We start from the raw sequence: 15,638 nt of genomic DNA, 5'->3' as shown, positions 1-15,638 counted from the left end.
CCGGCTCTTAGGCAATGATTTCTTAGATTAGACACCAAAAGCACAGGCAACAAAAGAAAAAATAAATTGGACTTCATCAAAACTAAAACTTCCATGCCTCAAAGGATATCATCAAAACACCGAAAAGAGAATCCAAAGCCTGGGAGAAAATACTTAGAGATTATATATCTGATAAAGATCTAGTATTTGGTATATAGTTAAAAATTATAACTTAGCTGGGTGTGATGGCTCACACCTGTAATCCCAGCACTTTGGGAGGCCGAGGCGGGCAGATCACGAGGTCAGGAGTTCGAGACCAGCCTGACCAACATGGTGAAACCCCATCTCTACCAAAAATACAAAAAAGAGCCAGCCATAGTGGTGCACGCCCATAATCCCAGCTACTCAGGAGGCTAAGGCAGGAGAATCGCTTGAACCCGGGAGGTGGAGGTTGTAGTGAGCCGAGATCATGCCACTGCACTCCAGCCTGGGCAACAGAGCGAGACTCTGTCTCAAAAAAAAAAAAAAAAATTACAACTCAACAATAATAATAAAAAACAATTAAAAATGGGCAAAGAAATAGACATTTCTGGCCAGGCACGGTAGCTCATGCCCATAAGCCCCACACTTTGGGAGGCTGAGGTCAGGTGTTCAAGACCAGCCTGAACAACATGGTGAAACCCTGTCTCTAATAAAAACACAAAAATTAGCCAGGTGTGGTGGCCGTGCCTGTAATCCCAGCTACTCAGGAGGCTGAGGCAGGAAAATCGCTTGCACCCAGGAGGTGGAGGTTGTAGTGAACCGAGATCGCACCACTGCACCACTCCAGCCTGGGCGACAAAGCGAGACTCTGTCTCAAAAAATAAAAAAAAAAAGAAAAGAAAATAAATATACATTTCTTCAAAGAAGATATACAAATGGCCATTAAATATATTAAAGGATATTCAACATCATGCATCATTAACAAATGCAAATCAAAACTACAAGATACTGGGCCAGGTGCGGTGGCTCACGCCTGTAATCCCAGCACTTTGGAAGGCCAAGGCAGGCAGATCACCTGAGGTCAGGACTTTGAGACCAACCTGGCCAACATGGCGAAAACCCGTCTCTACTAAAAATACGAAAAAAAAAAATTAGCCAGGCATGGTGGTGCACACCTGCAGTCCCAGCTACTCAGGAGTCTGAGCCACGAGAATTGCTTAACCCAGGAGGCAGAGGTTGCAGTGAGCTGAGATCATGCCACTGCACTCCAGCTTCGGTGACAGTGAGACTCCATCTAAAAAAAAAAAAAAAACAAAGAAACTACAATATACCAGGTCCTGCATTTCTTACATGACCAAAACAAACAAAAAAAGATACCACTTCACACCTGCTAGGATGACTATAATCAAAAAGACAAATAACAAGTGTTCGTGAGGATGTGGAGACATTGGAACCTTTATACACAGCTGATGAGAATGCAAAATGGTGCAGATGCTTTGGAAAACAGTTGGGAAGTTCAAAAGATTAAACACAGAGTTATCATATGACCCACCAATTCTACTCCTAGGTATATAGCCAAAAGAAATGAAAACATATGTCCACACAAAAACTTGTGCCTAAATGTTCATAGTAGCATTACTCATAATAGCCAAGAAGTGGTAACAACCCAAAGGTCCATCAACTACAGAACAAATAAATAAAATGTGGCATATCCATACAATGGAACACGATTTGGCAATAAAAGGGAATGAAATACTGATTCCTGCTACAAAATGGATGAACTTTGAAACACTATGCTAAGTGAAAATATGAAATGTCTGGAATAGGTAAATTCATAAAGATAGAAAGAAGGCCAGACATGGTGGCTCAGTCCTGTAATCCCAGCACTTTGGGAGGACTGCCTGAGGCCAGGAGTTCAAGACCAGCCTGAGCAACACAGTGAGACCCTGTTTCTATGAAAAATAATAATAATAATAATAAAATTAGCTGGGCCTGGTGGTGTGTGCCTGCAGTTCTAGCTACTTGGAAGGCTGAGGCAGAGGACCACTTGAGCCCAGGAGGTCAAGCCTGCAGTGAGATATGACTGCACCCTTACCCTCCAGCTTGGGCAACACAAGTACCTGTCTCAAAAGAAAAAAAAAAAGAAAATGAAAGAAAAAAGGAAAAGACAGAATGAAGACTAGTGGTTGCCAGGGACCAATGGGAGGAAGAAACTGGGAGTTAGTGCTAATGGGTATGAGGCTTCTTCAAGAAAAATGAAAATGTCCTGGAATAGGATAGTGGTGATGATTGCAAAACTTTGTGAATACAGTAAAAACCACTGAATTGTGCACTTTAAAAGGGTGAATATTATGTTATATAAATATTATATTTCTCAATAAAAAAGAAAAAAAAATACAACCATTAAAGAATTGAGACATGACTTGGCCAAGTCTCCAATTGTGCCAAAAGCAAAATCTAGGCGGCATGGTGGTTTATACCTGTAATCCCAACACTTTGGGAGGCCACAGCAGGCAACTTAAGCCCAGGAGTTCAAGACCAGCCCGGGCAACATGACAAAACCCCGTCTCCACAAAAAAAAAAAAAAAAAATTAGCTGGACTTGGTGGCATGTGTATGTAGTCCCAGCTACTCAGAAGGCTGAGGTTGGGGGGTGTCTTGAGCCCAGGGACTTTATAGTCCCCAGTTCCACTTAGCACATCTTGTAATCATACTTCCTCATTATTAACATTCCAGAAACTGTAAGATGAAACACTGGTTTAGGAATAAATAACTTTTAAGCAAAAAAACAAACAAAAAAGTATACTATTTCAGTAACCAACAAAATTGTACATTAATCCATATAGTTCATACCATAATCTTGTTTTGGAATCACAATTAACATGTAAGTATACACTTTCATATCTGAATTGAAGGCTGTTCTGTTCTAAATCACTTTTGGCCATAACAGTTCTGTACATCCTCATGGTGACATATTACACACCACTCTCCTTAGAGCCTGTGCTATTCATCTTCACTTTTATAACACTTTTAGGACCAACAGCATGACACTAAGGTTGAAAAATACTGGAGTTTACCTGTATTTCACATCTGATTATTGCTTTTTCTTTCTTTGAATTATGCCATTCTGGAAGTTAGTCAACTTTGCTTGAATGTCTATGGGAAGGTATTGGCAGGTGGAAGTTTGCAGGCTCAGTGGCAACTTTTCAAAATGCAAAAATCAGTCATAACAACCTCTTCTTGCTTTAAAATTCTGTACCTTAGTCTTAGAAAAGCAACTTCCACTGTCTTTTATTACATTGTCAGGAAACCTTTGGCAAATATTTAAAGTTAAGATTTAGGTTAAAACTACAAATTTACAAGAGAAAAACAATCCCATTAAAAAGTGGGCAAAGGACATGAACAAAAACTTCACAAAAGAAGACAAACATGTGGCCAACAAGCATATGAAAAAAAGCTCAATATCACTGATCATTAGAGAAATGCAAATCAAAACCACAGTGAGATACCATTTCACACCAGTCAGAATGGCTATTATGGAAAAGTCAAAAAATAATACATGCTGGTGAGGTTGCAGAGAAAAGGGAACACTTATACACTGTTGGTGGGAGTGTAAATGAGTTTAACCATTGTGGAAAGCAGTATGGCAATTTCTCAAAGTGCTAAAAGCAGAACTACCATTCAACCCAGCAATCCCATTACTGAGCATATACCCAGATGAGTAGAAATCATTCTACCATAAAAACACATGCAAATGAATGTTCACTGCAGTACTATTAACAATAGCAAAGACATGGAATCAACCTAAATGCCCATCAATGACAGATTGGATAAAGAAAATGTGGCACATATACAACATGGAGTACTATGCAGCCAAAAAAAGAATGAGATCATGTCTTTTGTAGGAACATGGATGGAGATGGAGGCTATTATCGTTAGCAAACTAATGCAGAAACAGACATCCAAATACTACATGTTCTCACTTATAAGTGGGAACTAAATTATAAAAGCTTATGAACACAAATAAAGAAACAACAGACACTGGGGTCTACTTGAGCGGGGAGTGTGGGAGAAGGCAGAGGAGCAGAAAAGATTAACTATTGAGTACTGGGCTTAATACCTGGGTGATGAAATAATATGTATAACAAACCCCCTTGACAAATGTTTATGTATGTAACAAACCTTCCCATGTACCCCCAAGCTTAAAATAAAAGTTTTTTAAAAAAGATTTAGGTTAAAATTAAACAGTGTAACAGTGTGTGGAGCTACGAATATAACTAATTCAACTGAGGTGGCAATGTATAGCTAATTCTGTACACACCCAGGCAATGACAGTCACCAATAAATCTCTACATGGTGGCTGGCAAGTTTCTACTGACATGAATTATAACATAGACTTCAGAAAAGTTAAAATATAAAAAAGATTCATTTGAAAATTGAGAAAATAAAATACATTTACAACTAGAACTTTCTTTTTTTAGTTCCTTAATCTCTATCACCCTTAAGCTATAGGCTCTGAGATCAAGATATGTGATAATGGTGCTATTCCATAAACAATGAATGTAAAAAAGTTATCTTCTCATTAATGAACTTACAGAGAATACTAGATATATAATCAACCATTAATGTAAAAGGACCGAGAAAAATGTGTAATGTATAATGCAGAGAGTTTATAGGAAGAGCATAAATAATATGTACATCACTCCACAGACAAAAAGTCTGGAAATCTCTTCAAAGATGGAAAAAACTTAAAACTTATAGAACTTCGAATTCCTAATTTTTCCTTTATGTACACTTATAGGTAATTGTATTAAGAGAAAGATAAGGAAGACAGAAAAGACAGTGAAGAATATTCCCTTTCTGGAACTATTTCATTAAAGTTTGTCCCACAATTTAAAAAAATCTGTTTGACCTAAAAAATGGGGAAGAAACCATCCAGCCCTTTTCACTTAGCGGACTCATGGCATAGGTGAGTGGCTGAAACAATCATGTAATAAGTAACCTTAAAGAAATGTGTTATATTTAGGCACCATTATACACTTTTGGTGGTAGTATAAATTACTACAATCATTTTGGAAAGCAATTTGGCAATATATAGTGAGATCTTTAAAAATATATATACCCTTTGACTAAAGAGTCCAGTTTCTCAAAATCTATTCCAAAGACATCCTATGAAACATGCACAGAGGCTGTCTTCCAAGTATTACTTATTATAGTGAAAAATGGAAAGCCTCATTTGTCTAACAACAGGTAAATGATTTAAAAATTATTGTACATCCACAAGACACAGAGTATTACAAAATTATTTTAAAATATTTATCAAGAATGCTTTTTAACTTTTTTCCTTTCCTGATATTTTTAAAATTTTTAAGTAATATATACTCATGGTAAAAGAAAATTCAAAAAACGTGAACAAAAACCAGAAGTCCTCTCAATTCTCTTATACAGTATTCTATCCCCAATTCCCAAAGGTAACTACACTGTTAAATTGTGTGTGTGTGCGTGTGTGTGTGTGTGTGTATGTATGTATGTGTTAAACTTCTAGAAATTTTTTGGGCATACACACACAAACTTATCTAACAAACATTTATCTATACATGGATAATTTTTTGCTTTGTTTTTAATATAAATAGAGCAATTCTAAGCATGTTGTTTTTCATTTTGCTTCTTACACTTATATTCTGACAACTGTTCCACAGCAGCACATATTGGTTTACCTTATTCACAAAAATTAATATTTAAATATGTATCGGGCTTAAGATTGATAGATATTTAGGTTGTTTAGATTTTTCTGCTCACCAATAATGCAATAATGAACACATTTGAATACATTTCTTTATGTACTAGTGTTACTATGTCAGTTCCTAAAAGCAGAATTTCAGTATTTTAGATAATGAAAGTTACAGACAAATCATCCACCAAAAATATCGCACTGATATCATCCTTCCTACCTCTTCAAACTATTCTAAACACTGAATATTACCAACTTTTAAAGATTTACCAATCTGGAAGATAAATATTTTAATCTGTGTATCTATAAATATAAGTAAAATTAAACCACTATTCCACTGCATGGGTCATCTTTTTCTTTTTTGTTTTCGAGGAGTCTCACTCTGTCGCCCAGGCTGGAGTGCAATGGCAAGATCTCAGCTCACTGCAACCTCCACCTCCCGGGTTCAAGCAATTCTCTTGACTCAGCCTCCCAACTAGCTGGGATTACAGGCACCTGCCACCACACCCGGCTAATTTTTGCATTTTTAGTAGAGATGGGGTTTCACCATGTTGGCCAGGCTGGTCTTCAACTCCTGACCTCAGGTGATCCACCCGCCTTGGCCTCCCAAAGTGCTGGGATTACAGGCGTGAGCCACCGTGCCCAGTCGGTTCATCTTTTTCTTATAGGCTTATGAGTCCTGATACAGTGAGGAAATTTGCTCTTTGTCACATATTGTAAACATTTTATTTACTTTTTATTTTTTGAGATGTAGTCTTGTTTTGTTGCCGAGGCTGGAGTGCAGTGACATGATCTCAGCTCACTAAAACCACCGCCTTCCGGGTTCAAGTGATTCTCCTGCCTCAGCCTCCCAAGTAGCTGGGACTACAGGTGTGCGCCATCATGCCCGGCTAATTTTTTTGTATTTTTAGTAGAGATGGGGTTTCACCATGTTAGCCAGGCTGGTCTCGAACTCCTGACCTCAGGCAATCTGCCCGCCTCAGCCTCCCAAAGTGCTGGGATTACAGGTGTGACCCACCATGCCTGGCCTACATTTTGCAGTTTGTTGTCTTTCAACAGTGTTTATATTTTTTAGTTCAGTTTTGTTTTGTTTTTTACTGTCTAGCAAATTTTTCTATTCTTCCCATTAGGGTTCCTCAACTTTACATATGCTTCAATTTCAAATATAAAAATAATATATATGTATTTTACTACTCTTTTTATCATTACTTTTTTTTTTTTTTTTTTGAGACAGTTTTGCTCTTGTTGCCCAGGCTGGAGTGCAATGGCACGACCTCGGCTCACTGCAACCTCCGCCTCCCAGGTTCAAGCAATTCTCCTGCCTCAGCCTCCCGAGTAGCTGGGATTACAGGTACATGCCACCATGCCCAACTAATTTTTGTATTTTTAGTAGAGACAGGGTTTCACCATGTTAGCCAGGCTGCTCTTGAACACCTGACCTCTGATGATCCACCCACCTTGGCCTCCCAAAGTGCTGGGGATTACAGGCATGAGCCACTGTGCCCAGCCAGCGGCAGCAATTTTTAAGAAATAGTTTAATTACAGATGAATGGCTATAGATTGCCAATGATAAGAGCCACAAGTCTGAAACCCAGGAGCTCTCTACAATCTAATTTTGATGTTATGACTGTTTTCTATAGATTTACTATACAAAATTAGCCTCAATTTTTTAATCTACAAAATAGAGATTAAAGTAACTGTTAATTGCAGCTATGAAAAATGATAGTCTTATTAGAAACTAGTAGGGCATTTATAAATTAACAAATGGCTACCATATAGAAAAAAAAACTGCTTAGGTTAATTTATGAACATACTATGTTTGGAAAAAACAAATGTGAGTAATGAGTGATTAATATCTCTTGATATTGTATATTGATAATTTTCAAATATAAGGATATGACCCAAAGGGAAATGACAGAGCGACCCCAAAGAGAAAGCAGAGACCCAGGAGAAGGTTAGCTAAAGGTTACACGAAACGGGAAAATCTGGCCCTGTATTGCAATCTTTCTTTTAATTCCTCACTTTTAATTGTTTTCTCCCAGCCTTGAAGAGCGACTTATTAGTGATGAAAATAGTAAATCTTAGGGGAGCATGCAGTTGGTCACTGTGGCACCCTGAAGACCTTAGTTTTAGAGGAAGAAAAACTGAGGAGCTAAGAGCCCCAAGAAGGTCATAAATGGGTATAATAAATATTTCTAGAGATGTGGAATAACAAAGTAAAACTTATACTTACAAGTTGAGATTCACGAACTTTAGGAAACATTTTGGCAACATTGAGACCATCAATGACAACATCAAAAGGAGGACGAGATTTTATGAAGTTCTCAAATCTCTTAAGTTCCTAATAAAGAAATGTCAGACAAAACATTAATAAGAACTCAGTAAGGACTTTATTATAAACACACTGCAGTGACCTTTATTATTGTTTTGATAATTCAAAATATTCATCCCTTAAAAATACACACACACACACACACACACACAGATACTCTACAAATGAAATCTGAAAAAGCCAGTCTAATGGATGCAACTGCATACAATTATCCAATACACTCTATAATCTCATAGTGCTTTATACTGCACAAAGCACTTTCATATGTAATTTCATTTGATCTGCAGCTGGCCTATCTAGACTTCTAAATTAACCCACATGATAGTTATGATAAGAATGAACTGGCGGTTCCAAGATGGCCGAATAGGAACAGCTCCAGTCCACGGCTCCCAGCGTGAGCGATGCGGAAGATGGGTGATTTCTGCACTTTCAACTGAGCTTTGAAGAGAGCAGTGGTTCTCCCAGCACGGAGTTTGAGATCTGAGAATGGACAGACTGCCTCCTCAAGTGGGTCCCTGACCCCCGAGTAGCCCAAGTAGGGGCAGACTGACACCTCACACGGCCGGGTACCCCTGAGACGAAGCTTCTAGAGGAACGATCAGGCAGCAATATTTGCTGTTCAGCAATATTCGCTGTTCTGCAGCCTCCGCTGCTGATACCCAGGCAAACAGGGTCTGGAGTGGACCTCCAGCAAACTCCAGCAGACCTGCAGCTGAGGGTCCTGACTGTCAGAAGGAAAATTAACAAACAGAAAGGACTTCCACACCAAAACCCCATCTGTCTGTCAACATCATCAAAGACCAAAGGTAGATAAAACCATAAAGATGGGGAAAAAACAGAGCAGAGAAGCTGAAAATTCTAAAAATCAGAGCACCTCTCCCCCTCCAAAGGAACGCAGCTCCTCGCCAGCAACAGAACAAAGCTTTGCGATGACTTTGATGAGTTGAGAGAAGAAGGCTTCAGACGATCAAACTTCTCTAAGCTGAAGAAGGAAGTTCGAACCCATTGCAAAGAAGCTAAAAACCTTTAAAAAAGATTAGATGAATGGCTAACTAGAATAACCAGTGTAGAGAAGTCCTTAAATGACCTGATGGAGCTGACAACCATGGCACGAGAACTACGTGACGAATGCACAAGCTTCAGTAACCGACTCGATCAACTGGAAGAAAGGGTATCAGTGATGGAAGATGAAATGAATGAAATGAAGCAAGATGAGAAGTTTAGAGAAAAAAGAGGAAAAAGAAATGAACAAAGCCTCCAAGAAATATGGGACTATATGAAAAGACCAAATCTATGTCTGATTGGTGTACCTGAAAGTGACAGGGAGAATGGAACCAAGTTGGAAAACACTGCAGGATATTATCCAGGAGAACTTCCCCAACCTAGCAGGCAGGCCACCATTCAAATTCAGGAAATACAGAGAATGCCACAAAGATACTCCTCAAGAAGAGCAACTCCAAGATACATAATTGTCAGATTCACTAAAGTTGAAATGAAGGAAAAAATGTTAAGGGCAGCTAGAGAGAAAGGTCAGGTTCCCCAGAAAGGGAAGCCCATCAGACTAACAGCGGATCTCTAGGCAGAAACTCTACAAGCCAGAAGAGAGTGGGGGCCAATATTCAACATTCTTAAAGAAAAGAATTCTCAACCCAGAATTTCCTATCCAGCCAAACTAAGCTTCATAAGTGGAGGAGAAATAAAATGCTTTACAGACAAGCAAATCCTGAGAGATTTTGTCACCACCAGGCCTGACCTAAAAGAGCTTCTGAAGGAAGCACTAAACGTGGAAAGATACAACCGGTACCAGCCACTGCAAAAACATGCCAAAACGTAAAGACCATCGATGCTAGGAAGAAACTGCATCAACTAATGAGCAAAATAACCAGCTAACATCACAATGACATGATCAAATTCACACATAATATTAACCTTAAATGTAAATGGGCTAAATGCTCCAATTAAAAGACACAGTCTGGCAAACTGGATAAAGAGTCAAGATCCATCAGTGTTGCTGTATTCAGGAGACCCATCTCACATGCAGAGACACACATAGGCTCAAAATAAAAGGATGGAGGAAGATCTACCAAGCAAATGGAAAACAAAAAAAGGCAGAGGTTGCAATCCTAGTCTCTGATAAAACAGACATTAAACCAACAAAGATCAAAAGAGACAAAGAAGGCCATTACATAATGGTAAAGGGATCAATTCAACAAGAAGAGCTAACTATCCTAAATATATATGCACCCAATACAGGAGCACCCAGATTCATAAAGCAAGTCCTCAGAGACTTACAAAGAGACTTAGACACCCACACAATAATAATGGGAGACTTTAACACTCCACTGTCAACATTACACAGATCAACGAGACAGAAGTTAACAAGGATATCCAGGAATTGAACTCAGCTCGGCATCAAGCGGACCTAATAGACATCTACAGAACTCTCCACCCCAAATCAACAGAATTTACATTCTTCTCAGCACCACATCGCATTTATTCCAAAATTGACCACATAGTTGGAAGTAAAGCACTCCTCAGCAAATGTAAAAGAACAGAAATTATAACAAACTGTCTCTCAGACCACAGTGCAATCAAACTAGAACTCAGGATTAAGAAACTCACTCAACCGCTCAACTACATGGAAATTGAACAACCTGCTCCTGAATGAATACTGGGTACATAATGAAATGAAGGCAGAAATAAAGATGTTCTTTGAAACCAATGAGAACAAAGACAAAACATACCAGAATCTCTGGGACACATTTAAAGCAGTGTGTGGAGGGAAATTTATAGCACTAAATGCCCACAAGAGAAAGCAGGAAAGATCTAAAATCGACACCCTAACATCACAATTAAAAGAACTAGAGAAGCAAGAGCAAACACATTCAAAAGCTAGCAGAAGGCAAGAAATAACTAAGATCAGAGCAGAACTGAAAGAGACAGAGACACAAAAAACCCTTCAAAAAAATCAATGAATCTAGGAGCTGGTTTTTTGAAAAGATCAACAAAATTGATAGACTGCTAGAAAGACTAATAAAGAAGAAAAGAGAGAAGACTCAAATAGACACAATAAAAAATGATAAAGGGGATATCACCACCGATCCCACAGAAATACAAACTACCATCAGAGAATACTATAAACACCTCTACGCAAATAAACTAGAAAATCTAGAAGAAATGGATAAATTCCTGGACACATACACCCTCCCAAGACTAAACCAGGAAGAAGTTGAATCTCTGAATAGACCAATAACAGGATCTGAAATTGAGGCAATAATTAATAGCCTACAAACCAAAAAAAGTCCAGGACCAGACGGATTCACAGCCAAATTCTACCAGAGGTACAAGGAGGAGCTGGTACCATTCCTTCTGAAACTATTCCAATCAATAGAAAAAGAGGGAATCCTCCCTAACTCATTTTATGAGGCCAACATCATCCTGATACCAAAGTCTGGCAGAGACACAACAAAAAAAGAGAAATTTTAGACCAATATCCCAGATGAACATCGATGGAAAAATCCTCAATAAAATACTGGCAAACTGAATCCAGCAGCACATCAAAAAGCTTATCCACCACGATCAAGTGGGCTTCATCCCTGGGATGCAAGGCTGGTTCAACATACGCAAATCAATAAATGTAATCCAGCATATAAACAGAACCAAAGACAAAAACCACACTATTATCTCAATAGATGCAGAAAAGGCCTTTGACAAAATTCAACAGCCCTTCACGCTAAAAACTCTCAATAAATTAGGTATTGATGGGACGTATCTCAAAATAATAAGAGCTATTTATGACAAACCCACAGCCAATGTCATACTGAATGGGCAAAAACTGGAAGCATTCCCTTTGAAAACCGGCACAAGACAGGGATGCCCTCTCTCACCACTTCTATTCAACATAGTGTTGGAAGTTCTGGCCAGGACAATCAGGCAGGAGAAAGAAATAAAGGGTATTCAATTAGGAAAAGAAGAAGTCAAATTGTCCCTGTTTGCAGATGACATGATCGTATATTTAGAAAACCCCATTGTCTCAGCCCAAAATCTCCTTAAGCTGATAAGCAGCTTCAGCAAAGTCTCAGGATACAAAATCAATGTACAAAAATCACAAGCATTCTTACACACCAATAACAGACAAACAGAGAGCCAAATCATGAGTGAACTCCCATTCAAAATTGCTACTAAGAGAATAAAATACCTAGGAATCCAACTTACAAGGGATGTGAAGGACCTCTTCCAGGAGAACTACAAACCACTGCTCAACGAAATAAAAAAGGACACAAACAAATGGAAGAACATTCCATGCTCATGGATAGGAAGAATCAGTATTGTGAAAATGGCCATACTGCCCAAGGTAATTTATAGATTCAATGCCATCCCCATCAAGCTACCAATGACTTTCTTCACAGAATTGGAAAAAACTACTTTAAAGTTCATATGGAACCAAAAAAGAGCCTGCATTGCCAAGACAATCCTAAGCCAAAAGAACAAAGCTGGAGGCATCAAGCTACATGACTGCAAACTATACTACAAGGTTATAGTAACCAAAACAGCATGGTACTGGTACCAAAACAGAGATATAGACCAATGGAACAGAACAGAGCCCTCAGAAATAATGCCGCTTATCTACAACTATCTGATCTTTGACAAACCTGACAAAAACAAGCAATGGGGAAAGGATTCCCTATTTAATAAATGGTGCTGGGAAAACTGGCTAGCCATATGTAGAAAGCTGAAACTGGATCCCTTCCTTACACCTTATACAAAAATTAATTCAAGTTGGATTAAAGACTTAAATGTTAGACCTAAAACCATAAAAACTCTAGAAGAAAACCTAGGCAATACCATTCAGGACATAGGCATGGGCAAGGACTTCATGTCTAAAACACTAAAAGCAATGGCAACAAAAGCCAAAATTGACAAATGGGATCTAATTAAACTCAAGAGCTTCTGCACAGCAAAAGAACCTACCATCAGAGTGAACAGGCAACCTACAGAATGGGAGAAAATTTTTGCTATCTACTCATCTGACAAAGGGCTAATATCCAGAATCTACAAAGAACTCTAACAAATTTACAAGAAAAAAAACAACCCCATCAAAAAGTGGGCAAAGGACATGAACAGACACTTCTCAAAAGAAGACATTTATTCAGCCAACAGACACATGAAAAAATGCTCATCATCACTGGCCATCAGAGAAATGCAAATCAAAACCACAATGAGATACCATCTCACACCAGTTAGAATGGCGATCATTAAAAAGTCAGGAAACAACAGGTGCTGGAGAGGATGTGGAGAAGTAAGAACACTTTTACACTGTTGGTGGGACTGTAAACTAGTTCAACCATTGTGGAAGACAGTGTGGCGATTCCTCAGGGATCTAGAACTAGAAATACCATTTGACCCAGCCATCCCATTACTGGTTATATACCCAAAGGATTATAAATCATGCTGCTATAAAGACACATGCACATGTATGTTTATTGCGGCACTGTTCACAATAGCAAAGACTTGGAACCAACCCAAATGTCCATCAATGATAGACTGGGTTAAGAAAATGTGGCACATATACACCATGGAATCCTATGCAGCCATAAAAAAGGATGAGTTCATGTCCTTTGTAAGGACATGGATGAAGCTGGAAACCATCATTCTGAGCAAACTATTGCAAGGACAGAAAACCAAACACCGCGTGTTCTTATTCATAAGTGCGAATTGAACAATGAGAACACTTGGACATAGGAAGGGGAACATCACACATCAGGGCTTGTCGTGGGGTGGGGGGAGGGGGGAGGGATAGCACTAGGAGATATACGTAACGTAAATGACGAGTTAACGGGTGCAGCACACCAACATGGCACATGTATACAAACCTGCACATTGTGCACATGTACCCTAGAACTTAAAGTATAATAAAAAAAAAAAAAAGAAAAAAAAAAGAAGAATGAACTGTCAAAATCTCTAAGTCCTGTTCTGTAGGCCAAGGAGGAGTGAACCTTAGGTATGCCACTCTACCAGTACAACCGTGCTGAAAGAACAAGGCTGTAAAACGTATAGGTCCTCTTTTGTCATTAAGAGGCTTTTATTTACCTATGGCTGTTTTGGAGAGGTAAAGATTCAGCCAATCATTAATTCAACAAATATTTGCTGAGCACCTACTACATGCCTAGCAGTTTACCAAAGGGACAAACAAAACAAAACAGAACAAAAAAACCCCAACTTAATGGAGCTTAGTGGGAGGATGCAGAAAATAAACGAAGTCAATAAGTAAATAATATTAAATGTGAGAATGCTATGGAGAAAAAAATAGGGGAGGGAGTTCTACCTCTGGTAATGATGGAATAGTTTGTACTGGACTACTAGATAATAATATAAATTCTAGATAAATACCCAACTATTTCAAAGTACCAAAGAATGAGCAAAAGCAGGCAGAAACTGGAGGGGACATGACATTTGAAGGTTTGGTAGTTTTAAAATCTGTCTGAAAATTAGTTGACACTCCCCTCTCAAAAGGTGATGTCTAATACCCTATGCTTTGAATATGGGCTCTCCTTTGTGACTGCCTCAATGAGTGGGATGTGGCAGAAGTGACATTATGTGATTTCTGAGGCTAGGAAATAAAAGATAATACAGCTTTCATCTGGCTGTCACTCTCAGGATGCTTGCTCTTGGAAACCAGCCATCCTGAGAATGCCCAAGTAGACGTTATATGTAAGTGTTCCATCTGACAGTCCAACGGAGTCCCAGCCAACAGCCAGCTAGCATCAATCACCACACCGATGAGACTGAGGGGGATTTCAAGATGACCCCCAGCCCCTATTTGATTACAATAGGAGACCCAAGCAAGAAGCATCAATTGAGTCTCATCAACCCCTAGAACCACGAGAGAGAACAACAATAATAATAGTAATAAATGATTGCGTTTTTTTAAAGCCACTATATTTGGGAAAATAAAGGAAAGAAAAGAAGGGAATTATACCAGGTAAAATTTGTCTTGGTCAGAGGGCAATCTCCAGACAGTATGGCCAGCAGGAACAGCTGGAAATCAAGCAGAAAGCTGCAGAACTTACTGGTTTGAGGAAACAGAAGACAGAGTTTGGGGCAACCAGAGGCTGGAAAATGACAGGGAATCCTAGAAAGGATAAAACCACAAAATTTGCACATAAATCTCCTCAAATCCTTGGGTAAAACATGATCTGCACATGCTTGGAGAAGATTCCAAGAAGCCCAGCAAAAAAGCAACAGGTGAAAGACTTGAAAGACCTAAGCAGAGATCTCAGCTGCTACCCACTGCAAGGGAGACAGTTTGGAGTCTAAGTCTAAAGAAGTTTAACAGCCTGCTAAATTAGCAAAAAATCAATAATTTCTAGACAAACATAGATAATCTCTAAAGCCTCTGCAATGTGTCATTCACAATGTCTGATACACAATTGAAAATTAATAAACATGAAAAGAAATACAGAAATGTGATCCACAGTCAAGAAAAAAGGGATTCAAAATAAACTAATCTGGGCTGGGCACAGTGGCTCAAGCCTGTAATCCCAGCAATTTGGGAGGCTCAGGTGGGTGGATCACTTGATGTCAGGAGTTCAAGACCAGCCCGGCCAACATGGTG

At 38.9% G+C, this 15,638-nt stretch overlaps 1 protein-coding gene and 1 long non-coding RNA gene across 10 annotated transcripts in view; both read right to left on the bottom strand.

Annotated features, from left to right (window-relative positions):
- PRORP-PSMA6 (PRORP-PSMA6 readthrough) overlaps positions 1-15,638 on the bottom strand; it is a 195,633-nt gene that overhangs the window by 128,770 nt on the left and 51,225 nt on the right. For all 4 annotated transcript variants that reach the window (NR_182666.1, NR_182669.1, NR_182668.1 and 1 more), the window contains one exon: positions 7,925-8,032. This is a non-coding gene — a long non-coding RNA (PRORP-PSMA6 readthrough). The remainder of the gene's footprint in view (positions 1-7,924; positions 8,033-15,638) is intronic.
- Positions 1-15,638, bottom strand: part of PRORP (protein only RNase P catalytic subunit) — a 155,784-nt gene that overhangs the window by 88,921 nt on the left and 51,225 nt on the right. For all 6 annotated transcript variants that reach the window (NM_001414503.1, NM_001256680.2, NM_001256681.2 and 3 more), the window contains one exon: positions 7,925-8,032. In NM_001414503.1, the coding sequence (NP_001401432.1) occupies positions 7,925-8,032 (108 nt within the window). The remainder of the gene's footprint in view (positions 1-7,924; positions 8,033-15,638) is intronic.

This window comes from Homo sapiens, chromosome 14, assembly GCF_000001405.40.
Source record: "Homo sapiens chromosome 14, GRCh38.p14 Primary Assembly".
Classification (NCBI taxonomy): domain Eukaryota; kingdom Metazoa; phylum Chordata; class Mammalia; order Primates; family Hominidae; genus Homo; species Homo sapiens.
The sequence above is the reverse complement of the archived record's forward strand: the minus strand, read 5'-3'. Positions and strand labels throughout refer to the sequence as shown.